General features: G+C 44.7%; 1 pseudogene across 1 annotated transcript, besides 2 other annotated features; it reads left to right on the top strand.

Moving 5' to 3' along the window:
* Positions 1-3,371: 3,371 nt before the first annotated feature.
* On the top strand, positions 3,372-4,689 carry RNF126P1 (ring finger protein 126 pseudogene 1; annotated as a pseudogene). The gene has a single exon (NR_002818.2). The product of NR_002818.2 is annotated as a ring finger protein 126 pseudogene 1 (transcript).
* Positions 3,942-4,869: an enhancer, noted in NCBI's record as "H3K27ac-H3K4me1 hESC enhancer chr17:55123409-55124336 (GRCh37/hg19 assembly coordinates)". NCBI's record gives its function as "activates a minimal SCP1, AML or CMV promoter by ChIP-STARR-seq in primed H9 embryonic stem cells {active_cell/tissue: H9 hESC(primed)}" and the evidence as "EXISTENCE:reporter gene assay evidence [ECO:0000049][PMID:30033119]".
* Positions 4,107-4,156: an enhancer, noted in NCBI's record as "active region_12424". NCBI's record gives its function as "activates an Ori minimal core promoter by ATAC-STARR-seq in GM12878 lymphoblastoid cells {active_cell/tissue: GM12878}" and the evidence as "EXISTENCE:reporter gene assay evidence [ECO:0000049][PMID:35858748]".

Raw genomic sequence — 27,880 nt, forward strand, 5'->3', positions numbered from 1 at the left:
GTGGATTCTAGAGAGCGGCACCTTCCATTTGGAGGATGGGGCAGGGAGTCAAGGCAGCCAGCTTCTCATTGTCCCATTGTCTGTAAACAGCCCCCCGTAACTATCCTGGGGCCACAACACTTGTAAAGCCCCCTAGACTGGATGTGTTAGGACTTAGCCTGAGGGGAGCTCTCCCTCCTCATAAGGTGAACCAGTACGTAATCATGTGGGAATTTCTCTTGGAGTCATAACAGCACTGGACATAGCACCACCATCATAATTACAGGGATGTTGTTAAAGTGTTATCTATTACAATAAAAAATGAAAACAAGTAAATGTCTAATAATATGGGATCAGTTAAGTAAATAATGGTCCTTCCTCCCTTTCTTTCTCCCTTTCTTTCTCTTTCTTTCCCTCCCTCCCTTCCTTCCTTCCTTCCTCCTTTCTTCTTTCTTTCTTTCTTTCTCTTTCTTTCTTTCTTCCTTCCTTTCTTTCTTTCTTTCTTTCTTTCTTTCTTTCTTTCTTTCTTTCTTTCTTTCTTTCTTTCCTTCTTTCTTCTTTTTTTTTTCTTTTTTTTTGAGACAAGGTCTCTCTCCATCTGCCAGGCTGGAGTGCAGTGGTGTGATCTTGGCTCACTGCAACCTCTGCCTCTCAGGCTCAGGTGATCCTCCCACCTCAGCCTCCCCAGTAGCTGGGAATACAGGTGCCCACCACCACACCCAGCTAATTTTTATTTTATTTTATTTCATTTTTATTTTTGGTAGAGATGGGATTTCACCATGTTGCCCAGGCTGGTAATCTGTATTCTTTTCTTCCTTTCCTTTCTTTTCCTTTCCTTTCCTTTTCCTTCCTTCCTTCCTTCCTTCCTTCCTTCCTTCCTTCCTTTCCTTTCCTTTCCTTCCTTCCTTCCTTCCTTTCTTTCTTTCTCTTTTTTCATTCAAACTAGATCAGAATGTAAATCTGTGTTCTTTCAATGCAATGAACTAAACTATGAGTCTAGCCATTTTTTTGAGTTCTCTGAGCACTTCAAATGAGTCATTGAGCCAGAGGGTGGTCTTAGGGCCCTGTGACACCTTGTTTCTTAGTTTTGGAAACTCTCTTGATATCTCTGCCTTTTTTTGTCTCCATCCCCACCCCACTGTCACCCCTCCCTCTTCTATGAAAGAGCAGGTACCTGGACAAGCTCTATCAGGAGAGAAAAGTTTAGATGTATAGATGAGCTAAGCTGTTCTGCACAACAGAAGTGCCAGGAATCTGATCTTTCTTTCTGATAGGTCAGAAAGACTCTATTTTCAAGGTCCTGACACGTGTAGCAAAGCAGAGAAGGACCTGGTTAGAGGTGAAAGGGAGAAGACCAAGATGGCAGCAGGCCAAGACCTTGGACGCAGAAGTACACAAGAAATCTCCATTGCTGGCAGCAATGGCCAGCGCTGAGCCTTATGTCATCTCCCACATTGTGCTTGGTTGGGGGTCACCTTCTTGATCCCGAACTCCAGTAAAGAAGAATCTGTTATCCACTTAGTACTTGGTGACCTTTGGGGACAAAGGAGGAGATAGATGGAGACAAAGTAGAGGGTGCAGGGACAAAGCAGAGAAGAGAGCAGACAGCAACTTTAGGAAACGGATGTGGGGATTCAGCTGAACCAGGGATTGGAAAATTACCAGAAGAAGGCTTGATGTCCCTCAGCACGTGGCATGGGACCAAGACATTTTGTTTGGCTGTCAAAGAACAGGCGACCACAGAAAGTTGAAGGACTTGGGAGCATATATATCCCTGCATCGAGATTCATTAAAAAGGCCCTGGAGGAATATATCTGAAGGCTATTAGTGGCTATCTCTAAATGTGGGGTAACATGATTTTATGTTTTTATTTAATCTATGGAGTCTAATCTTTTCTACTATGACAATGTAAGGTTCTTGCAGTAAAGAAAAATAACTGTTGGCCAGGTGTGATGGCTCATGCCTGTAATCTCAGCATTTTGGGAGGCTGAGGTGGGAGGATCATTTGAGTCAGGAGTTCGAGACTAGCCTGGGCAGCATAGTGAGACCTGGTCTCTGCACAAAATTTTAAAAGGTAGCCACGTAGGGTGGTGTATGCCTGTGGTCCCAGCTACTTGGGAGGCTAAGGTGGGAGAATCACTTGAGCCGAAGAGATTGAGGCTGCAGTGAGCCTTGTTCATGCCACTGCACTCCAGCCCAGGCAACAGAGTGAGACCCTGTCTCCAAAAAAAAAAAAAAAGAAAAAGAAAAAGAAAAATATCTGTTAAAGGTAAAAGTGATATTCTTGGCCATGTGGCTCATGCCTGTAATCCTGGCACTTTGAAAGGCTGAGGCAAGTGAATCACTTGAGCCCAGGAGTTCAAGACAAGCCTAGGCAGCATGGTGAAACACTTCTCTACAAAAAACACAAAATTAGTCAGGCATGGTTGCGGGCACCTGTCGTCCCAGCTATTAGGGATGCTGAGGCAGGATGATTGCTTGAGCCTAGGAGGCAGAGGTTGCAGTGACCTGTGATGGCGCCACTGCAGTCCAACCTGGGCGACGAAAAGAACCTCTGTCTCAAAATTAAAAAAAAAAAAAAGTTGTAAAAAAGTGATATTCTGGCCGGGGGCGGTGGTTTATGCCTATAATCCCAGCACTTTGGGAGGCCAAGGCGGACGGATCACCTGAGGTCAGGAGTTGGAGAACAGCCTGGCTAACATAGTGAAACCCCGTCTCTACTAAAAATACAAAAATTAGCTGGGTGTGGTGGTGGGTGCCTGTAATCCCAGCTACTCCGGAGGCTGAGGCAGGAGAATCACTTGAACCCGGGAGGCAGAGGTTGCAGTGAGCCAAGATCGTGGCATTGCACTCCAGCCTGGGCGACAGCGTAAGACTCCATCTCAAAAAAAAAAAAAAAAAGGCGATATTCTTAGCTAGAAAATTCAAAATACACATTCAGTAGTACCCCCTTATCCACGGTTTCAGTTACCTGCGGTCAACTGTAGTCCAAAAATATTAAACTGAAAATTCCAGAAATAATTCATGTTTTCAGTTGCTTGCCATTCTGAGTGGCGTGATGAAATCTCACACCGTCTTGCTTCACCCCTCCCGGCCTGTGAATCCTCCGGCTGTTCAGTGTATCTGAACTGTAGATGCTACTTGCCCATTAGTCTCTTAGTAGCTGTTAGTTATCAGACCAATCCATGGTATTGCAGTGCTTGTGTTCAAGTAACCCTTATTTGACTCAATTGTTGTGTTTATTATTCGTTATTGTTGTTAATCGCTTCCTTAGTAAGCGCCTATTTTGTAAATTAAACTCGATCATAGATATGTAGGTAGGAAAAACATAGTATATAAAAGGTTTGGGCGTCGATCAGCGAGGGAGCAGCAAATGGCCGGCGGTTGGCGCCTCGCGGGGGGCGGGCGGCGCAGAGTAGGGGGCGGTGGCCAGGGCCGAGGCGTCGCAGCAGCTAGGACGGTTCTTCTGCCACTGCTGCTCCCTGGACACCGTCCCGCGCCTATCGGATTATATCTGCCCAAGATGTGCGTCTGATTTTATCGAGGAGCTTCCTGAAGAGACCAGGAGCACAGAAAACAGCTCTGCCCCTTCCACTGCCCCCACGGACCAGAGCCGGCCGCCGTTGGAGAACGCGGACCAGCACCTGTTCACGCTGCCGCAGGGCTACGGACAGTTTGCTTTCGGCATCTTTGACGACAGCTTCGAGATCCCCACGTTCTCTCCTGGGGCGCAGGCTGACGGCAGCAAGGACCCTGAGAGACCGTGGGAGACAGAGCATCAGTCCCGGCCCCGTACTGCGCCCGGCAGCCCCGCCTCCGCCTCCCCACGCGGCGGGCCACCGGCCGGCACGAAGGCCTCCCCACGCTAGAAGGGATCATCCAGCAGCTCGTCAACGGCATCATCACGCCCGCCACCATCCCCAGCCTGGGTCCTTGGGGAGTCCTGCACTCAAACCCTATGGATTACGCCTGAGTGGCCAACGGCCTGGACGCCTTCGCACAGCTCCTCAATCAGTTTGAAAACACGGGCCCCCCACCGGCAGATGAAGAGAAAATCCAGTACCTCCCCACCGTCCCCGTCACCGAGGAGCACGTAGGCTCCGGGCTCGAGTGCCCCGTGTGCAAGGACGACTACGCGCTGGGCGAGCAGCTGCCCCGCAACCACCTGTTCCACGATGGCTGCATAGTGCACCGGCTGGAGCAGCACGACAGCTGCCCCGTCTGCCGAAAAAGCCTCCCGGGACACAACACGGCCACGAACACCCCCGCCCCGGGCCCGACTGGGATGAACTGCTCCTCCTCGTCGTCCTCCCCCTCCTCCAGCTCGCCCAGTAAAGAGAACGCCACAAGTAACTCCTGAGCCCGCGTGGGCCGGCACCCACCACTGCCCGCTGCGCCTGAGGCTGCGGGGAAACCGCGGGGACTTTCCCAACCACCCTCAGCCAGGGCCGCACGGCACCCACAGACTGGGTGCCCCAGAGGCGCCAGTCTTGGCTGGTCAGCGCTACAGGCCCCGCCTGTTCCAGGGCAGGATCCTGGACCGGCCCACCGGCTCCCTGGCTCGGGAAGGCGTGGGCCACATGGTCCCCTCTGGGGCGCCTTCAGCCTCCCCGTCTTTTGTCTAACCTCACCCTCTAAACGTTCAGCGGTGGAAAGATTTTTAGAATTTTAAATTATTACTGCTTTGAAATAAATGGAAGTTTTAGCTCACATGGCGGCCATGCATGATCTGTGGCAAGACGGGGCACCGCTGCTCCACCAGTGCTGCGAGCGCCGTCAGAATAGGCCGCGTGGGCTCCCAGCCTTCCCCTCGGCTGCCTCCAGGACCTGGAGTTTGGGGGCTCGGGACCATGAGAATGACCAGCAAAATTCAGGAACAAAACTGCTCCAACGGACTTTTTTTTTTTTTTTTTTTTTTTTTTTTTTTGAGGAAGTCTAGCTCTGTCGCCCAGGCTGGAGTACAGTGGCACAATCTCGGCGGCTCACTGCAACTTCCGCTTCCCGGGTTCAAGCGATTCTTCTGCCTCAGCCTCCTGAGTAGCTGGGATTACAGGCGTGTGCCACCACGCCTGGCTAATTTTTTGTGTTTTTAGTAGAGATGGGGTTTCACCATGTTGCCCAGGCTGGTCTCAAACTCCTGACCTCGTGATCCGCCCGCCTTGGCCTCCCAAAGTGCTGGGATTACAGGCGTGAGCCACCGCGCCCGGCCACCAACAGACTTTTTTAAAGGAAAAAATATGTGTGTCTTGAAAGCTATTTAAAATACACTACCTACAAAGATTAAAAAAAAAAAAGGTTTTGTACTATCTGTGATTTTAGGCATCCACTGGGGGTTTAGGAACATGTCCCCCATGGGTAAGGGGGAACTACTGGATTTACTGTATTTATGAAATCTGTATTGTGGTCAGCACTGGGATTGGCTCTGGATGAACACAAGGAATAAGCCCTCTGCACTCAAAGAAACTGCAACAAATGGAGGGAAACCTCCAAATAAACCAATAAGTGTGTCCTGACCAACAGGGGTGCATGCAAAGAAGGAAATGACGTGGGTACTGTGGTTGCGAATAATAGAAGGAAGCTTTATGTGGTGGAACCTATTTCAGAGGATGCTTAATAAAGGCTTCCATGTGGAGGTGATGTTTAGGTTCAGATCTGAAGGAGAAAAAGGAGCCTGCAGCCACAGCTTGTAGAAGAGAGTTCCAGACACAGGGAATGCCTATGGCCAGCGCTGAATAAGACAAGACAAGACAGAAATTGACTCCTGGAAGGGGATGTTTGGGGAGTGCAGGTCAGATTGTGGAGAGGGGCTGGGGGTAGCTTGCGCAGATAGAGTATAGCCGTTATTCCAAATGCATGGGGAATTGTGGAAATTCATCATTGTTTGCATTTTAAAAAGAGCTATCTGGCTGTATCATGGAGAATAAACTAGAGGAGAGCAAGTGAACAGGCTCTTGAAAGAGAAGAAGCTGGGGTGGTACCAGCGAGGATGGAAAGGGGTGAGGGGATTTAGGCCATTTTGAAGGAAAACAAATAGATAAATAAGACATGATGTTGGATTGGAGGTAAGGGATAAGAGGGAGCTATCACTGATGGCTTCCTGTTTTCTGGCTTGGAATTATCTACCAAGGTGACACAGACTGTAGGAGAAACAGGTTTTGACCTGTTAAATTTCAGATGTCTGGGTTTATTAAAAGGGTGGCATTCAGCAGTGGCTCAGCCCTCTGATGTGGTAAGGTTCAGTGCCAACAAGAGAAACAATCCTCCAAATTGCTTTGGCATTACTGAAGCCACACTTATTTTTAATAGCTTTATACAGCTTTAGTTCCTTACTTATAGAACTGTTAAGGACTTAAAAGAGTAGTGAAGGCCGGGCACAGGGGCTCACGCCTGTTAAATCCCAGCACTTAGCACTGAGGCAAGAGGATCACTTGAGCCCAAGAGTTCGAGACCAGCCTGGGCAACCTAACAAGGCCCTGTCTCTACGAAAATAAAAATAAAATAAAAATTAGCCGGGTGTGGTGATGTGCACCTGTGGTTCCAGCTACTTGGGAGGCTGAGATGGAAGACTTGTCTGAGCCCAGGAGTTTGAAGCCACAGTGAGCTGTGATCATGCCACTGTACTCTAGCCTGGGTGCTGAGTGACAGAGTGAGACCCTGTCTTGAAACACACACACACACACACACACACACACCAGAGTAATGTGTAATTTTCAGTTGTACTTTATTTTGTTTTATATGTGACAATATGTGCTACAGTGGTCTTTGGTAGCTTGAGTTTTCATAAAGGTAAAGGATATAATCCTCACAAATGTCAAAGATCTACTATAGATATAATAGGCAATGTATTTAATCAATTGCCAGTAACATTTTATGGAAAATGTAAAGATACTAGTTGATGTGTAGTCTGTGGATAGACAATAGTTCTCCTGGCTGGGTGCGATGGCTCACACCTGTAATCCCAGCACTTTGGGAGGCCGAGGTGGGTGGATCACTTGAGGTCAGGAGTTCGAGACCAGCCTGGCCAACCTGGTGAGACCCCCATCTCTACTAAAAATACAAAAATTAGCCAGGCATGGTGGCGCATACCTGTAATCTCAGCTACTTGGGAGGCTGAGGCACGAGAATCACTTGACCCCAGGAGGCGGAAGTTGCAGTGAGCTGAGATCACACCACTGCACTCCAGGCTGGGTGACAGAGTGAGACTCCATCTCAAAAAAAAAAAAATTATCCTTTAACTATCACTAGAAGCTGGGAACTCTGTTTTACACTATAAGTATCCCATTTCAGCTCCTACATTATTTGTCATCTATTTTACATGTAGGAAAATCAAGGCTCAGAAAAGTTAAGTAATTTGCCCAGGGTCACAGAGCTAGCAAGGGGCAGAGTCTGTATTTGGACTCAGGTCTGGGTTGGCTACAAAGTTTGAGCCTTTATTTGATTGTTTGTTTGTTAGAGACAGGCTCTCACTCTGTTGCCCAGGTTGGAGTAGAGGTACGATAATGGCTCACTGCAGCCTAGAGCTCACAGGCTCAGGTGACTCTCCTGCCTCAGTCTCCCAATAGTTAGGACTATAGACATGCACCACCATGCCCGGCTAATTTGTGTGTGTGTGTGTGTGTGTGTGTGTGTGTGTGTGTGTCACAGAGACAGGGTCTCGCTATGTTGCCCAGGCCGGTCTTGAACTCCTGAGCTCAAGCGATCCTCCTGCCTTGGCCTCCCAAAGTGCTGGGATTACAGGTGAGCACCTCTGCACCTGGCTGAAAGCTTGAGTTTCTGTGTAGTAGATATTTCATTACAGAATGGATTCTCTGGAAGCAGAAGCTATGATGGGAATGGAAAATAGAAAGGTTTATTGGGGAGCAACACCCATGGAAGGAGACCTATCAAAGTCTCTACCAGCCAAACAGGAAGCTCTGAAGCAAAAACTACCCACTGGAGGGGTCCAGCATTGAGCAGAGATGGCTAGGCCGTTCTTCCACCCCCTTGCCCAGTCATTGACTAGGGAGAATGTCCCAAGAAGAGCATGATCTCAGCTGGAAAGCTGAGCTGGACTTGAAGGCTGTCAGTGAACTGAAATCTTTGCAGCTGGGCAGTGAGCCCACCCTTAAATGGGGATCTGAACAGTGCATCTCCTTGTCTGCCACAGGCTCTAAAAATTGTCAGCACTCTTTCACCCAAGAAAAGGCACTGCATTAGTTATCTATCGCTGTGTAACTAATTGCCACAAAATGTAGTCGTGGAAAACAACAAACATTTGTTATCTCACAGTTTCTGTGGGTCAGGAATCCAGGCATGGCTTAGCTGGGTGCCTCTGGCTGACGGTCTTTCATAACGTGGCAGTCAAGCTGTCAGCCTGGACCGCAGCCCCCTCCAAAGACTCAACTGGATGGAGAATCCACTCCCAAGCTCACATTTGTTGTTGTCTACAGGACTCAGTCGCCTCATCACATGAGCCTCCCCACAGGGCTGCCTCATGACATGGCAGCTGGCTTCCTCTAGGGTGAGCAATCCAAGAGACCTCAGTGAGAAAGAGGACCCAAAATAAAAGCCATGGTCTTTTATAATTTTGGAAGTGACATTCCATCCCTTCTGCTGCATTCTATTTCTTAGGAGTGAGTGAATATATCCAGTGTACAGTCGAGGAATGTACAAATACAAGAATACCAGGAGGTGGGACTCCCTGGCGGCCATCTGAGAGGCTGCCTCCCATATTCAAATAAATAACACTGTGGCAATAATAAGATTGGCTCCCATGTATTGAGCAGTTGCTATAAATCAGGGGTGGTATTAGGCCCTTACATACATGATCTCACCATGTCTCCTGTGTTCACTCAGGATTCATTAGGCACCAGGCACTGCAAGTTCTAGAGAACAGAATGGCAAATGAGGAACACTCCTGCTCTTGAGGTGCTCATGTCTACAGGAATAATTTGTTCTGATTTTACAAAGGAGGACAAGAAAGGTCACACACTAAGTGGCTGAGCTAGGAGGCCCAAGCTGCTCAATGTGACTTTGAGGCCAGAAATGTTTGTGAAGACAGCATACTCCTGAATCCACCATCCCGGAAAACATCAGCAGGCACCAAAAAGGCCTCTTCACACATTGTCTAAGAACAATTGTGAGGAAGAAACAAGTCACAAAGAATATATACAATATCATTCCTTTTTCTTTTTCTTTTTTTTTTTTTTTTTTTTTTTGAGACAGGGTCTTCCTCTGTTGCCCAGGCTGGCATGCAGTGGCGTGATTTCGGCTCACTGCAACCTCCACAGTGTTCAAGCAATTCTCCTGCCTCAACCTCCCGAGTGGCTGAGATTACAGGTGCCTGCCACCATGCCCAGCTAATTTTTTTGTATTTTCAGTAGCGGCAGGGTTTTACCACATTGGCCAGGCTGGTCTCGAACTCCTGACCTCAGGTGATCCACCTGCCTTGGCCTCCCAAAGTGCTATTACAGACATGAACCTCCACACCCGGTCTAATTCCATTTATATGATATTCACAAACTGATGCTTGTTTATGGGGCACATTTAGTTGTAACACTAAAGAGGAAAGAAAGAAAACGGTTTCCACAAGTTAGGATAGTGGCTACTTCTGGGGGAGGGAAGGAGATGGAATAGGGGGACACACAGGGGCTGCTGGGAGGGGGCTGAATACTATTCTAGACCTGGTGGTGGTTATATGGGTGTTCAATTTATAATGACAATTGAATGACACATATATGTTTTCTTTACTCCTCTGCATGTATGACGTAGCTCACAAATAAAATAGCAACAAGAACTATTGTGTTGAGTGGGAAGCGATTTGCAGGGTACTTGCCTATGCCTGTGATGGAAGGCAAAGAGCTCTCCTTTTCAGAGACACCGGGGATACGATGTCTTCGTGCCTCTGGCAAATCTCTCACACAGATGGCTCGAAGCCTGGTTTACCACTATGTCCTTAATGTGTGTTGCACCCAAAATAAATTCTGAGGAGGACAGTGCTTGGTGAGATCATCTTGCCATTTGATACACGTGTCTGAGCAAGTTGGTGTTTTTTCTATTCCTGAGCCCACTGCCTAAGAGTGAAACCTGATTCACATTGTAACAATAGCCACTCAGATCTTCACAAAGCAAAGAGAAGCTTTATACAAAAGGGTGAAGGAAAGCTCACTCCTAGGATACCTCTGATTCATTAGGCTTTAATGGATTCCATTCAAGAACCTGTCAGAAAAGCCAGGTGCAGTGGCTCACACCTGTAATCCCAGCTGCTTTGAAGGTTAAGGCAGAAGGATCCCTTGAGCCCAGGAGTTCGAGGCTGCAGTGAGCTATGATTGTGCCACTGTGCTCTAGCCTGGGGGACAAAATGAGACCACATCTCTAAAAAACAAGGAGGAAGGAGAATTTTATTACTTAATGGATATAGAGTTTCTGTTTTACAAGATGAAAAGGGTTCTAGAGCTGAATACTGGTGATGGTACCAGAACATTATGAATGTATTTAATATCACTAAAGTGTACACTTAAAAATGGTTACAGTGGGCTGGGCATAGTGGCTCGTGCCTGTAATACCAGCATTTTGGGAGGCCGAGGTGGGTAGATCACCTGAGGTTAGGAGTCTGAGACCAGCCTGGCCAAGATGGCCAATGTCTCTACTAAAAATACAAAAATTAGCTGGGTGTGGTGGTGCGTGCCTGTAATCCTAGCTACTCTGGAGGCTAAGGCATGAGAATCGCTTGAACCTGGGAGGTGGAGGTTGCAGTGAGTCGAGATCACGCCATTGAACTCCAGCCTGGGTGACAGAACAAGACTCCACCAAAAAAAAAAAAAAAAGGTTACAGTCGTAAATTTTATGTTGTGTGTATTTTACCGCAATAAAAAAATGGGGGAGGGGGGGATATGTGGCATCAAGCCAGGAAAAAACATGGAGGTTTGTAACCAGCCTGGGAAAAACAGTGAGACCCCCATCTCAAAAATCGAAAAACAAGACAAAACAAGGCCAGGCGCGGTGGCTCATGCCTGTAATCCCAGCACTTTGGGAGGCCGAGGCAGGCAGATCACGAGGTCAGGAGTTTGAGACCAGCTTGGCCAAGATGGTGAAACCCCGTCTCTACTAAAAATTTTAAAAAAAAATTAGCCAGGTGTGGTGGCGGGCGCCTGTAGTCCCAGCTACTCGGGAGGCTGAGGCAGGAAAATTGTTGAACCCGGGAGGTGGAACTTGCAGTGAGCTGAGATCATGCCACTGCACTCCAGCCTGGGCGACAGAGTGAGACTCCATCTCAAAAAAAAAGGAAAAAAAAGAAAAACAAGACAAAACAAAAAAGACATAAAGACATGGAGGAAACTTAAATTCATATTGCTAAATATAAGAAGCCAATCTGAAAGTAATACATATTGTGTGACTCTATAACTATATATAATATATTATATATTTATATATAAAATATATAATATATATATTTTATATATAAATATATTTTATATATATATATATATATATATATATATATATATTTTTTTTTTTTTTTTTTTGAGACAGAGTCTGGCTCTGTGGCCCAGGCTGGAGTGCAGTGGCATGATCTTGGCTCAATGCAACCTCTGTCTCCTGGGTTTGAGTGATTCTCATGCCTCGGCCTCCCGAGTAGCTAATCCCTGGCAACCAGTGATCTTTTTACTGTCTCTGTAGTTTTATATTTTCCAGATCATTGTCAGGGTGCGTGGCTCATGCCTGTAATCCCAGCACTTTGGGAGGCTGAGGTGGGTGGATCACCTGAGGTCAGAAGTTCAAGATCAGCCTGACCAACATTGGAGAAACCCCGTCTCTATTAAAAATACAAAAATTACCCAGGCATGGTGGCGCATGCCTGTAATCCCAGCTACTTGGGAGGCTGAGGCAGGAGAGTTGCTTGAACCCAGGAGGTGGAGGCTGCAGTGAGCCGAGATTGCGCCACTGCACTCTAGCCTGGGTAACAGAGGGGACTCTGTCTCACACGAAAACAAACAAACATGCAAAAAAACACAATCATATTCCTCTGCAAATGTGTCCTCCAACTTTTGTCTTGGCTCAGCCCAGCAGCATTTTTGCATATAACTGTCCTGAATTCACCTTCTTTGTTATCTGGTTCTGCAGGCGGGTGACTCAGTTACAAAAGGTGAGGTTTGCAGGGAGGTCCTAAGGGAATTTGATGACAGTGAAGGGGAACTCTGAAATACTGATCCAGCCACACTTACAAACACTGCTGCTATGGCTGGGAGTTACCTCTATAGAGCTTGAATCCTGTGCTGTTAGAAGCCTTCTTCTGCAGGAGTGGCCTTGGTTTTATTGCTTCTTAGCGGTTGGGAACCAGCTTCCTGCCAACTGTTTGGAAGGACATGCCCAGTTTCCAGCTCTGGCTAGATATGAAAGTGAAAGTTTCTGAAAATGATCTTTGCTGGCTGGGATCTGAAGCACCTGTCAGGAGGAAGAACAGATTGGCCCTAACTCGAGGGTGCTCCCAAGTGGCTGTGGATCAGCTATGAGTCCCTTGCAGGGAGAGGCAAGAAGTGTGAGCAAAGCTACAGGTAAATGAAGAAACGGGAGACGTCTGAGACATAGCATCCATTTTATTTTTCCTTTTAGTCTTTTGGGCTTGCAGCAGTCAATATTTTTAATTAAAAAAGTTAATTTACGAATAAAAATTGTATATATTTAATATGTACATGATTTGATATACATATACATTATATAATGATCATCACAATCAAATTAACATACCTGTCATCATCCATAGTTACCACTGTCTGTGTGTGGTGGGCTAAGGTCATTTAAATTCTGTTCCCTCATCAAATTTCAAGTAATTGATACAGTAATGTACACTATGTTGTAAATTAGATCCCCAGAACTTGTTCATATTATAAATGAAAGTTTGTACCCTTTCATCAACATCTCTTCACTTCCTTCACACCCCAGCCTCTGGTAACCACCATTTTACTCTGCTTCTATGAGTTCAACTTTTTAATTTTTAAATTTTTATTTATTCTATTTATCTATTTATTGAGACAGGGGCTTGCTCTGTCACCCAGGCTGCAGTGCACTGGTGGTACCACAGCTCACTGCAGCCTTGAACTCCCAAGCTCAAGTGGTCCTCTGACCTCAATCCCCCAAGTAGCTGGGACTATAGGCACATGCCACCACACCTGGCTAATTTTTGTATTTTTTATAGAAATGGGGTTTTGCCATGTTGCCCAGGCTGATCTCGAACTTCTGAGCTTAAGCAATCCACCTCAACCTCCCAAAGTGCTGGCATTGCAGGTGGGAGCCACCACGCCAAGCCAAGTTCAACTTTTTTAGATTCCACAAACAAGTGGAATCATAGAGTAATTGTCTTTCTGTGCCTGGTTTATTTCACTTAGCGTAATATCTTCCTGGCTCATCCATGTCCCAAATGGCAGAAAGTCCTTTTTAAAGGCTGAATAATGTTCCGCTATGTATGTATATATACCGCATTTTCTTTATCCATTGATCTGTTGATGAACATGGGTTGTTTCCACATCTTAGCTATTGTGAATAAGGCTGCAATGAACATGGGGGTGCAGATATCTCTTTTAGATACTGATTTCATTTACTTTGGATATACAGTTGACCCTCCATATCTGTAGTTTCCAAATCCATGGATTCAACCAACAAAGGATCAAACATATTTTAAAATATTGCATCTCTACTGAACATGAACAGACTTTTTTTGATTGTTGTTTTTTAAACAATAGAGTATAACAACTATTTAGGCCATGAGCAGTGGCTTATGCCTGTAATCCCAGGACTTTGGGGCCAGGCACAGGGGCTCACGCCTATAATACTAGCACTTTGGGAGGCTGAGGCAGGTGGAACACCTGAAGTTAGGAGTTCGAGAACAGCTTGACCAACATGGAGAAACCCTGTCTCTACTAAAAATGCAAAATTAGCAGGCGTGGTGGTGCATGCCTGTAATCCCAGCTACTCGGGAGGATGAGGCAGGAGAATCACTTGAACCCGTGAGGTGGAGGTTGCGGTGAGCCGAGATCACACCATTGCACTCCGGCCTGGGCAACAAGAGTGAAACTCCATCTCAAAACAAACAAACGAACAAACAACAAACAAACAGTGTATTACAACTATTTAGGCCATGGGCAGTGGCATATGCCTGTAATCCCAGCACTTTGGGAGGCCAAGATGGGAGGATCACTTGAGCCCAGGAGTTCAAAACCAACCCGGGCAACATAGGGACACCCTGTTTCTACAAAAAGTAGAAAATTTACCCGGACACGGTGGCTCATGCCTGTAATCTCAGCACTTTGAGAAACTGAGGCAGGAGGATCACTTGACGTCAGGAGTTTGAGACCAGCCTGGCCAACATGGCGAAACCCCCATCTCTACTAAAAAATACAAAAAAAAAAAAAAATTAGCCAGGCATGGTGGCACGTGCCTGTAGTCCCAGCTACTTGGGAGGCTGAGGCAGAAGTATCGCTTGAACCTGGGAGGCGGAGGTTGCAGTGAGCCAAGATCATGCCACTGCATTCCAGCCTGGGTGGACCATAGCCTGGGTGACAGAGTGAGACTTCCTTTCAAAGAAAAAAAAAAAGTAGAAAATGTAGGCTGGCACAGTGGTGCACACCTGTAGTCTCAGTTACTCAGGAGGATGAGGCAGGAGGACGCATTGAGCCTAGGAGGTGGAAGCTGCAGTGAGCTGTGTTGTGCCACTGCACTCTAGCCTGAGTGACAAAAATGATTTACATAGCATTTACATTGTGCCGAGTATTATAAGTAATCTAGAGATGATTTAAAGTATATAGGAGAATGTGCACAGGTCATATGCAAATACTACAACTTTTTTTTTTGAGACAGCGTCTCACTCCATTACCCAAGCTGGAGTACACTGACACCATCATGGCTCACTGCAGGCTTGATCTCCTGGGCTGAAGCAATCCTCACACCTGAGCCTCCTAAGTAGCTGGGACTACAGGTGCATGCTACCAATCCCAGCTAAAATACTACAACATTTTATATCAGGGACTTGAGCATCTGTGGATTTTGGTATCAATGTGAGGTCCCAGAGCTAATCCCCACTGATACCAAGGGATGACTGTATACCGAGAAGTAAGATTGCTGGATTATATAGGAGTTCTATTTTGTGATACAGACTCCTTGACTGTAACTTGCACTGGTGGGCCAGAAATGCCAGAATTACAGGGTAAGCTGAAGCTTAGAGCAATAAAGCACTAATAAGGCACTAATAAATGATAGCTAATATTTATTCAGCACTCACTCTGTACCAGGCATTGGGCTAAGTGTTTATGTGAAATATCTCATTCAATCTTCACAACAATCGTAAAAAGCAGGTATTATTTTTGTCCCCATTCTAGAGACAAGAAAATGGAGGCACAGACAAATTAACTAACTGGCTCAGGTCACAAAACTAGTATGTGATAGAGCTGGGATTTGAGTCTGGCTTGCTGGACTCTAGAGTCTGTCCTCTTAAACACTATGCTAGTGAGGAGCAAGGCAAAAAGATTATAAAAAGAAAGTGCTTCTCAAATGGCTATAATGGTTTTTAGCCATTACTGCTTAATGAGAAGTATAGACAGGTCTATTGATGAAGAAAGAAAAAGAACCTAAAATTGGAGGTGAAGTGGTCATCAAAGAACAAAAGGTCAACAAATTGAGTTTCAAAAATCTGATTAGCTTTTATTAGCAATTCATGAACCACGCAGCATCCAATCTACAAAACAGAAAGGAGCGCCAATGAGCTAGACAGAATGGGTAAGTTTTATAGGCAGAAAGAGACAGAGGAAAGCAGGAACAATGAACAAATGGTGGATTAATCATTTCAAGATTACTTTCCTTGTAAGAATGTAAGTGAAATCTTACTGGCTTAATAGGATTTGGTTATCATCTCTCTCCTGATTTCTTGAAGATCTGATCTTACAAGTAAGCAACTTTGGTTTGGTTTGATGACATGGAACTTCAGCCTTGTTTGGGGCCTGCCGTTTTTTTTCTTTTCATACCAGATAGGTAATGTTCAAGACCAGCCTGACCAACATGGAGAAACCCTGTCTCTATTAAAAATACAAAATTAGGCCGAGTATGGTGGCTCATGCCTGTAATCCCAGCATTTTGGGAGGCCGAGGCGGGCGGATCACAAGCTCAGGAGTTCAAGACCAGCCTGGCCAACATGGTGAAACCCCATCTCTAATAAAATACAAAAATTAGCTGAGCATGGTGGTGAGCGCCTGTAATCCCAGCTACTTGGGAGGCTGAGGCAGGAGAATCGCTTGAATCCGGGAGGTGGAGGCTGCAGTGAGCGGAGATTGTGCCATTGTACTCCAGCCTGGGCAATAGAGTGAGACTCCATCTCAAAAAAAAAAAAAAAAAAAATTACCTGGGTGTGGTGGCGCATGCCTATAATCCCAGCTACCCGGGAGGCTGAGGCAGGAGAATCGCCTGAACCCAGGAGGTGGAGGTTACAGTGAGCCGAGATTGTGCCACTGCACTTCAGCCTGGGCAACAAGAGCAAGACTCCGTCTCAAAGAAAGAAAAAAAAACGGAAAAAGGGATGAAGAAGGGTAAGTGGCAGGTCATGCATGCACTGACTCCTCACATATTGGCTCTCATGTCCTTTGTCAAAGCAAGTCTCATGACCATACCTCACTTCAAAGAGAGCGTGGAAGTACATGCCTACTGCATGTTTGGAAAAGGAAAGAGAATATTTGTGATGAAAAAAAAAATCAAGCATGATGATATTTGTGTCAATGACAGCTCAATGTTTATAGAAAACAGTGGACATTTTCTAGGTTTTATAGAAATTATGTGATGCAAGAATGTTTATCATGTAATACAGATTTTAAAAAATGCATTAAATGACCAGGCATAATGACTCATGCCTGTAATCTTAGCACTTGGGTAGGCTAAGGTGAGAGGATCATTTGAGCCCAGGAGTTTGAGACTAACCTGGACAATATAGTGAGACTTCATCTCTGTAAAAATAAAAATAAAAATAATTATATATTTTAAAATGCACTAAATGATCGCCACGTAGAATGGAGAACTCAAAATGAGGTTACTACTTTAATTGGTTTTAAAGTGACAGAAGAAATCATAGACAACATATTTAGAAGTAACTCTTACTCAGTTTAAATAGATTATATTATGGACAAAAATCATGGACAACATGTATCATGTAGTATACATATTGATGAACAACCAGAAGGGAGAAAAAACAAAGATATTGAAATCAATTAATATTTCATTGGTTGTACATCTGCAGTAATCATTACATTCAGTTATCTTTGCTATTTCCCCTACTTTCAGTCATGTAAAAACCACAGTTCTATGAAGTTTTAAAATTTCATTGTCATTAAAGTATTTGTTTTGTTGTTATAAAGCTATATTTGTTAAAGTAGGGAGTTAGACCATATTTATTTATTTATTATTATTATTATTATTATTATTATTTTGAGATGAAGTCTCACTCTGTCACCCAGGCTGCAGTGCAGTGGTGCGATCTTGGCTCACTGCAACCTCTGCCTCCCGGGTTCAAGTGATTCTCCCACCTCAGCCTCCTGAATAGCTGGGATTGCAGGCACATGCCACCATGATTGGCTAATTTTTGTATTTTTAGTAAAGATGGAGTTTCACCATGTTGGCCAGGCTGATCTCAAACTCCTGACCTCAGATGATCCACCCTTTCATAGTTGATGGGAAATAAATGTGAAGCTGCTGAAGGCCATTTTTGTTATGACCTGGGGAGACATCCACTGAGAACAAAGCCCAGACAAAGGACAGATTGATGAGTGATGACATATTTGAGTACCTGGATCCAACTGTGTCTGAAGCCAACAACCCCTAGATTTAGGTGAGCCAGTAAATAAATTCCCTTTTCTGCTTAGGCCAGTTCTAATTTAATTTTTTCCATTTGCAACTGAAAGAGACCTATAGTATTCACTGGGCTCATCACAAATATTTAAAAATGTTTAAATATTCCATGCTTTTTGTCCATAATATAATCTATTTAAGCTGAGTAAGAGTTACTTCTAAATATGTTGTCTATGATTTCTTCTCTCACTTTAAAACCAATTAAAGTGGTAATCTCATTTTGAGTTCTCCATTCTACATGGCGATCATTTAGTGCATTTTAAAATATATAATTATTTTTATTTTTATTTTTACAGAGATGGAGTCTCACTATATTGCCCAGGTTAGTCTCAAACTCCTGGGCTCAAATGATCCTCTCACCTTAGCCTACCCAAGTGCTAAGATTACAGGCATGAGTCATTGTGCCTGGTCATTTAATGCATTTTTTAAAACCTGTATTACATGATAAACATTTTTGCATCACATAATTTCTATAAAACCTAGAAAATGTCCACTTTTTTCTATAAACATTGAGCTGTCATTGACACAAATATCATTATGCTTGATTTTTTTTTTTTTTTTTTTGAGACGGAGTCTCACTCTGTCGCCCAGGCTGGAGTGCAGTGGTGTGATCTCGGCTCGCTGCAACCTCTGCCTCCTGGGTTCAAGCGATTCTCCTGCCTCAGCCTCCCAAGTAGCTGGGAATACAGGCGTCCGCCACCACAGCTGGCTAATTCTGGTATTTTTAGTAGAGATGGGGTTTCACCATGTTGTACAGGCTGGTCTCGAACTCCTGACCTCAAGTGATCTGCCTGCCTCGGCCTCCCAAAGTGCTGGGATTACAGGTGTGAGCCACCGCGCCCGGCCTATGCTTGATCTTTTCAATGCTTTTTTGTAAAATTGCCTTTATTTATTTATTGAGAGAGGGTATTTCTCTGTAGCCCAGAATTTGTTGTAAAACTCTGTCACAGTAGTAACAAAATACTTTGTACTTAGGCTATAAAAAAATATATAAAAAAAGTAACACCGATTTCTGCAATTTCTTTCTCCATCTAAAATAATTTTTACATAAAATTAAATAATTATCTGCCATGTTCGTGCAGTGGGAAGTTGTAATGATTAATTTGTGGGTTTTTCTTTTTTTTTCTCTCTCTCTGCCACCCAGGCTGGAGTGCAGTGGTATGATCTTGGCTCACTGCAACCTCTGCCTCTTGGATTCAAGTGATTCTCCTACCTCAGCCTCCCGAGTAGCTGGTACAACAGGCACCTGCCACCACATCCAGCTATGTTTTTGTATTTTTAGTAGAGATGGGGTTTCACCACGTTGGCCAGGCTGGTCCCGAACTCCTGACCTCAGGAGATCCACCCACCTCGGCCTCCCAAAGTGCTGGGACTACAGGTGTGAGCCACCGCAACTGGCTCATTAATTTGAATTGAATTGCATTTTGCTAGAAACATCTTTATGCTATTAGAAGGATGTGATCACCATTTTTTAGGATCACCATCCAAAAAGCATAATAAAGCCCCAGAGGTTTTTGATTTTCACATTCAATTGCAGCTTTTATAAATGCAGTTTTCTTCACATACTAATGGACATGCTGGAGTTGTTGCATTTGGGTTTTTGAGTTATAAATTTGTTACAAATAATTCTTTTCTTGTTCTTGTTTTGATCAATAATTCAGTCTTCACTTAGGGAAGAATGTCAAGTTGTACGGATTTCAACGGATCTTTTCAAATTATGGGTTTGAAGATATTTTTTGTTCATTTTCATACGATTAGTAATTAAATCTTTATTAAATAAGGAATTTGTGAAAGTCTTGTCTGCAAATTTTATGTGAGTCATGCTCAGCAGACGTCGATTCACTTTCATTGTTGCCAGTTTTTAGAAATTTAAGCAGACTGGACCGGGCACGGTGGCTCACGCCTGTAATCCCTGCACTTTGGGAGGCCGAGGCGGGCAGATCACGAGGTCAGGAGATCGAGACCATCCTGGCTAACACGGTGAAACCCCGTCTCTACTAAAAAAATGCAAAAAATTAGCCGGGCGTGGTTGCAGGCGCCTGTAGTCCTGTGAACCCGGGAGGCGGAGCTTGCAGTGAGCCAAGATCGCACGACTGCACTCCGGCCTGGGTGACAGAGTGAGACTCCTTCTCAAAAAAAAAAAAAAGAAAGAAATTTAAGCAGACTGCTTTCTATTTTCTCTTCTTTCAGGCTTTTTGTTCTCTAAGTTCCACTTCTGTATTTTCTTTTTCTTTCTTTCTTTCTTTCTTTCTTTCTTTCTTTCTTCTTTCTTTCTTTCTTTCTTTCTTTCTTTCTTTTCTCTCTTTCTTTCTTTCTTTCTTTCTTTCTTTCCTTTCTTTTTCTTTCTTTTCTCTTTCTTTCTCTCTCTCTTTCTGCCTCTCTTTCTTTCTCTCTCTCTCTCTTTCTCTCTCTCTCTTTCTCTCTCTCTCTCTTTCTTTTGTGACACCGTTTCACTCGTTGCCGAGGCTGGAGTGCAGTGCAGTGGTGAAATCTCGGCTCACTGCAACCTCCACCTCCCGGGTTCAAGCACATTTCCTGCCTCAGCCTCCTGAGTAGCTGGGACTACAGGCGTGTGCCACCATGCCCGGCTAATTTTTTTTTTGTATTATTAGTAGAGACGGGGTTTCACCATGTTGTCCAGGCTGGTCTCGAACTCCTGACCTCAAGTTATCTGCCTGCCCTCAGCCTCCCAAAGTGCTGGGATTACAGGTGTGAGCCACCGTGCCCAGCCCATTTCTGTATTTTCTATCTCAATGTGATCTTGACTTATACTTATTTAAGTTATTTATTTATACTTACTAAATTATACTTATTCAAATTATTTAAAGAATTTTTAAATTATTTTATGTAAAAATATTTAAATAAGGCTGAATTTGTATTTAAATTTCTGGAAATACTAATGTTTTTATAAAAATTCATAACTCTAGCATTCAGTGTCAATCTGGTTATCATTGTATTTGTCCATGTAGTTGTCAATTCATATTGTTTGATGAATGTTGTCTCTACACCTGAGTATATACAAATATAAGAATAATAAGAATTATTTGATGTTACAAAATATTCAGCTGTCACTTGCAACTGTTGCAAATACCAGAATCATGCATCACTAACAAATGGTACCTTGTTATGCAAGAATCTATTGCACTTGTGCTGAGAAGATTTGACAAGTTCATTAGTCTTTTTTTATTAATGTCTCCTCCTCCCTGAGATCTAAAGCAGTGTCTAGCTCTATGTTAGCAGCGGCACAACTTACAAATCTCCACGGCATTCTGATTAATTTCCTTTTTTTGTTTCAAGGACATAGGACTAGGGTGTAAAGAAGGAATTTCTTGGGCCCTGAAACAGCGTAAGTCATGAGAACAGATGGGTGGGGTATATTGGTTGTATCATGCCAGCACTAAGGGGCAAATATCAAGTTGCAGACACCCATACATTCTTTAGTATACAAATGTGTTGTGTTTGTTATATGTGTGGTCCTCCAAAGCTCAAGTTCCCCGCTTGCCTGGGTTAAGGGCAGTGGTCACTTTGGATGTCGTCTTAGGAACTAGTCAAAGATCTCTGGAGAGTGGGATCTTCGGCAGACTAGAATAGGGAAAGGAGCCACGCTAGGTGAGATTTGAGAGACAGGGCAGAGGCAGATTTACCATGAGGCAAATGAAGCTTAAGTTTTGAGGTCCCTCATTTGTACAGATTGCGCCAAGGTTTTAGTGCTTGCTGATTTTGTGTTCTTTTTCTTGAAGATGCTCCCAGCTCACAAAAGTGAAGTTTGAAAAACTTAAGGCAGGATATCAGAGCCCAAACCAGACAGGTTCAGGGTAGTTCAGGGCAGGGTTCTCTTCTGGCAGTGTCCTGGAATACTTGACAGGAACCAAAGGCATATGAGCTGGGAGCAGAAGGTCTGGGACAATCCAGTAGGGTTTTAGAGTGACTTCTGCAACTGCAGCAGTGAGGTGGGGCATGGTGGCTCACACCTGTAATCCCAGCACTTTTGGAAGCCAAGGTAGGTGGATGCCTTGAGTCCAGTTTTGTCATGGGCAACATGAAAAGTCCTATCTCTACAAAAATTACAAAAATTAGCCGGGTGTGGTGGCGCATGCTTGTAGTCCCAACTACTCAGGAGGCTGAGGTGGGAGGATCACTTGAACCCGGGAGGGAGAGGTTGCAGGGAGCCGGGATCATGCTAATGCACTCCAGCCTGGGCGACAGAGTAAGACTGTCTCAAAAAAGAAAAAAAAAAAAAAAAGAAAGAAAGAAAGAAAAAAGAAACTGCAGTAGTGAGATTCATCTAGAGCAGCCCTGATCAATAGAAATACAATGAAAGTTACATGTATGCTTCTGAATTTTCTAGTGGTCACATTTAAATAAGTAAAAACAAACAGATGAAAGTAATTTTAATATTTTATTAAACCCCTTGTATCTAACATGTTAACTGAGTCCTTAAAATCTGTTTTGTTGTGTTGTTTTGTTTGAGATGGAGTCTTGCTCTGTCGCCCAGGCTGGAGTGTAGTGGTGCGATCCTGGCTCCCTGCAACCTCTGCCTCCCGGGTTCAAGTGATTCTCCTGCTTTGACCTCCTGAGTAGCTGGAATTACAGGCACCCGCCACCATGCCCAGCTAATTTTTGTATTTTAGTAGAGATGGGGTTTCAGCATGTTGCCCAGGCTGGTCTCAAACTCCTGACCTCAAACGATCCACCTGCCTCGGCCTCCCAAAGTGCTGGGATTACAGGCATGAGCCACCACGCCAGGCCTGGTGTGTATTTTATACTTACAGCACATTTCAATTCATATTAACCCCATTTCAACCGCTCAATAGCTACATGTGGCAAGCGGCTACCATATTGGGCAGCATGGCTCTGCCTCTATCTTCCCATCAGCGCTAGCTGGGAAGCTGTAGTAGTTTCCTATTGCTGCTGGAATGAATCACCCTGAACTTAGTGCCATAAAATGGCACACATTTATTCTCTTACAGCTTTGGAGATAGAAATCGAAAATGTGTCTCACAGGGCTAAAATCAAGATGGTGGTCAGGCTATCTTTCTCCTGGAGACTCTGTTCCTCGCCTTTTTCAGCTTTCAGAGGCTGCCCATATTCCTTGGCTCATGGCTCTGCACTGCTTGGACTTCTGCTTCCATATTCACATCTCCTTCTCTGACTCTGACCCTCCTATAAGGACCTTTGTGTTAACAGTGGGCCCATACAGATAATCCAGGATAATCGCCCCACATCTCAAGATCTCCACCTCAATGACACCTTTATGGTGTAAGGTAGCATATTCACAGGTTCTGAGGATTAAGATATTTGGGGAGCCATGATTTGGCCTACAATAGGTGCTTAATAGGAGGGGCTACGGTTACAGAGGAAGAGTGCTCAGGCCTGTAGCCAAAATAGGGCTAGGGACAAAGGAATGACTCCATTTTGTCCAGAGTAAGAGCAAAGAACAAGCTGAAATTCCACAGGAGGAAAACTAGGGGAAGCTGAGGGTGTTGAGTCTTACTTAGGAGGACCTATGGTTTGATTATTTGTCTCCTCCAAAACTCATGTTGAAATCTAATTCCTAATGTGGCAGTGTTGAGAGGTGGCACATTTAAGAGGTAACTGGGTAATGAGGGCAGAACCCTCATGAATGGATTAGCTCATTCGTGGATTAAAGGGTTAATGGGTTCATGGATTAATGAGATATCATGGGAATGAGACTGGTGGCTTTATAAGAAGAGAAAGAGACTTTTGCTAGCACACTTAGCCCCTTGCCCTGTGATGCCCTGAGTTGCCTCCAGGGAGACCCCACCAGCAAGAAGACCCTCAGCAAATGCAAGCTCTCGACCTGGGATTTCTCAGCTTCCATAATTATAAGAAATACATTTCTTCTTCTTCTTTTTCTTCTTCTTTTTTTTTTTTTTTTTTTGGCAACAGAGTCTTGCTCTGTCGCCCAGGCTGGAGTGCAATGGCACGGTTTGGGCTCACTGCAACCTCCACCTTCTGGGTTCAAGTGATTCTCCTGCCTCAGCCTCCCGGGTAGCTGGGATTACAGGCATCCGCCATCATGTCCAGCTAATTTTTGTATTTTTAGTAGAGACGGGGTTTCACCATGTTGGCCAGGCTGGTCTCGAACTGCTGACCTTGTGATTCACCCGCCTTGGCCTCCCAAAGTGCTGGGATTACAGGTGTGAACCACCATGCCTGGCAATTTCTTTTATTTATAAATTACCCAGTTTCAGGTGTTCTGTTATAAAGAACTGAAAATGAACTAAGACGAGAGAAAACCTGGCCAAGGCCCATCCCAACTAACCAGCAGTCTCCCTATTCTACTCCCTACTCTATTTATTTATTTATTACCTTTTAGGAAACTTGTCACAGTTACAAGTCCTAGAACAGAGCTTTTCCTCCAAAGATTTTATACACACACACACACATGCACACACACACACAGACACACACACACACATATTTTTTGAGACAGAGTCTAGCTCTTTCACCCAGGCTGGAGTGCAATGGCGTGATCTTGGCTCACTGCAACCTCCACCTCCCAGGTTCAAGCTGTTCTCCTGTCTCAGCCTCTCGAGTAGCTGGGATTACAGATGTGCGCCACCACACCCAGCTAACTTTTGTATTTTTAGTAGAGACAGAGTTTCACCATGTTGGCCAGGCTGGTCTCAAATTCCTGGTCTCAAGTGACGGCTTTGGCCTCCCAAAGTGCTGGGATTACAGGTGTGAGCCACCTGCCTTGCCCAAAGATCACACTTATTTCACGAAGTTTCATGCTCAAGCCCTCCCCACTATCCTGTGCCACACATGCCCATAACCTCAGTGCCAAGTCAGAGGCTGAACGCTCATTATGTGCTTAGTGTAGAGTGGATTGTTTAAACATTAAAATATTCATGGAATGAAAAAAATAGGTACATTGCATTTTACCATAGGAAAACTAGTAAAACGGGACCACGTACTCCTGACCAAGGACTCAGAACTGAATAAGTCAAAAATACATCCTAAAAGATTATAAAAATCTGTAATCACCTAAAACAATAAACACGTGCCACTCCAGCTTCTATAAAATGGGTTTGAGGTACTCTACACAGTGATTACACAGGGAGTCCAATGAACTGTAGAGCACATAGAAGTACCACTGGATCATACGCTTGAACTCAAGCCTAATTTGATGGCTATCATGTGGTCAATTATAATCTTGCTGGATTAGTTAGACCTTAGCATGGCTCATATGAGATGGTTTGATGATCCAAACATACCTCAAAGATTTTCTCTTGATCTGTTTCCCTGGAGAGCAAGCAGAGGTATTTGAAACAATTTCCATGAGTCAGTACCTTCAGTGCTAAATGTGCTATTGGTAATGACAGTCCTTCTAGCCAACTGGGTCTAGTATTGAGGAAACAAGATGCACTGGGAGGTGTGGACACCTGGCACGTGACACGCCCACTGGGGTGGGGCATGTCCTGGGAGGGAAGCCCATGAGTGTGGGTGCCGGGAGGCCATCCAGTATGGCAGGCAGAACTTGGAACTTGGGGTGCAAGGAAGCTGATAATAAACAGTTTTATAGTAAAATGGGAGGCCTCAGAGTCATCTCGTATAACAAGAGGTGGACAGAGTGTAGCAACAGATCAGATGTTTAATTAACACCCTTGGCATTCTTGGATACCACAGTCACCATTCAAAATACTGTGGGGTGATCCCAGAGATCCATGATATGTAGTCATTTGCCATTTTGCCAGGACAAGGATCTTAAACACCTGAGGACCTAAGAACGACTTAAGTGAATGGCTGGCATTCCATCTCACCATAACTTTGTGTTTCTTTGTTCATGGTTGGGTATGCAGAAATTTTCCTTCGGTAATTAAAAAAATAAAAATGACCACAGTGGTTTTTCTTTGGAAAAAAGTCAGCTGCTTCTTACTGGTATTAAACTGAAGAGAAATTCAGCCAGAAAATGAAATATAACTGAATGTGAAACTCAGCTGTGCTTGGCTAGAAGGGGTTGACCAGGCCCACTTGCACTTGTCTGTCTGTCTGTCTCTCTCTCTCTCTGTGTCTCCCTCTGTCACCCAGGCTGGAATGCAATGGTGTGATCACTACAGCCTCTAACTCCTGCCCATCCCAAAGTGCTGGATTACTTGAATGAGCCACTGCCCCTGGCCCCCACTTATACTCTAATTAAAAAAAAAAAAGACATTGAAGAAGCTATTTGAATATGACCCCAAAAAGGGTCATCAAAGGAGAGTTAAACTTTAGTGAAAGTTGAAAAGGAGGTTAACATGAGACGTGAGGCTATCCACAAGCAGCAGCAAGCCTTTGATTCTGGAGAAAAAGGGGCATCTGCATAAACAACACAGAGATTCAAAAAGGCTTGGAAAAGTGTTGCTCAAGCATGTTATGGGTTGGCTGTAATCAGAAATCAAGCTTGTGGGAGCTGTTGTTGGGAAAGCATGTCAGCAGGTAAGCAGCAACATTGCCCCCCCCCCCACCCCCGCACCGCTGGATGGGTGGAGCATGGGGAGGGACTTAGTCCCGGAAGGCCTGGAGGGAGTGCTCAGCAGATCATCATCACACCACTGCACTATGCACTGCAGCCTGGGTGCAGATCCTGTGTCTTAAAAAAAAAAAAAAAAAAAAAAAAAAGTTGGGGTTGGGGGAGGACTTTTGGCCCCGGGAATGAGGCAGAAGCTAGCCAACAGAACCTAAGACAGGGGCCAGAAGTCCAAGCAGACCCCAGAGCAAACTTACTTTGTGTTGTATTCCCCAGTACCAAGCCAAACATCCTACTCTTTCTTTCTAAAATCAGGATCGCTCCTAAAAATTGTGGCAGGGCTGAGCCTCCAGGTTCAAAGGAGGTTCAAGAGCTCTGAGATATAGAGAAGAGGGCTGGAAAGGCTAGGAACCAGAAAGGGTGTGAGAAAATTTTCCCAATGAGAAGAGCAGGGGCAGACTGCTGCAGGGCTCCTGGATAAGTCAAATGATGTAACAACTGGTTCTCCTTCTTTGCTGGGGAACCTTTACATAAAGTCCTCAATTTGTGGCTGCCTGGCTTAAGGCTAGGGCAATTTGTACTGTGTAAACTTGAATAAGTTGGGATCTACATTTCCCAGAATCCCATTCCCCATATGGTTTCAAGAGTGAGTTCGCCAAAAGAGGAATTTGCAGGATATTAGAGAGGTGAAGCAGCAGCTATTACCCTCTGTAGGCTGTCGTGATTAGAAGTGGTTACAGACAAATGCAGAGGTGCCTATGACCACTGGCACCTCTGGTTCCAGGTGTAGGGCCCGTTTTTTTTTTCTTGCTGTCTTCTGCTCCCAATCTACCTCTTCTTACCAACTGCTGATGTTATGGAACAATGGTGTTTTTGTTTGTTTTGTTTTGTTTTGTTTGAGACAGAGTCTGGCTCTGTCCTCCAGACTGGAATGCAATGGCGTGACCTTGGCTCACTGAAACCTCCGCCTCCCGGGTTCAAGCAATTATTGTGCCTCAGCCTCCCAAGTAGCTGGGACTACAGGCGCATGCCACCACGTCCAGGTAATCTTTGTATTTTTAGTGGAGACTTGATTTCGTCATGCTGGCCAGCCAGCCTGGTCTCAAACTCCTGGCCTCAAGTGATCCAACTGCCTTGGCCTCCCAAAGTGCTGGGATTACAGGTGTGAGCCATTGCACCCAGCCCAATGGTGACTCTTGACTCACCACCATATACTTGACAGTGATGCACAAAGGCAGTAGCTATGCAAAGGGACGGCTTCCCACTGACCTCCCATGAGCTTGTTTTGCCATCCTATTTTGGGGCTAGATGTGCTTAGCTTCTCAGATTGATCAAATAGTAATCTCTTCTCTGATCCACTACTTTTCTCCTGGACCTTCACTTTCTTGGCTCCCCTTACAAATGTGTAAGATCTCATCCTAGAATACATTTCCTATCCTGTAAGTAGTAGTTCTGCTTCCCTGGATAACCTCTGACTATATACTAGGTAGACTGAAAAATCCAGGCAGGTGCTTACTTACTCTTAAGGATTATTTGGTTCCAAGAAACAGAAAGCCACGCTGAACTAAT

This window comes from Homo sapiens, chromosome 17, assembly GCF_000001405.40.
Source record: "Homo sapiens chromosome 17, GRCh38.p14 Primary Assembly".
In the NCBI taxonomy this organism is placed as follows: domain Eukaryota; kingdom Metazoa; phylum Chordata; class Mammalia; order Primates; family Hominidae; genus Homo; species Homo sapiens.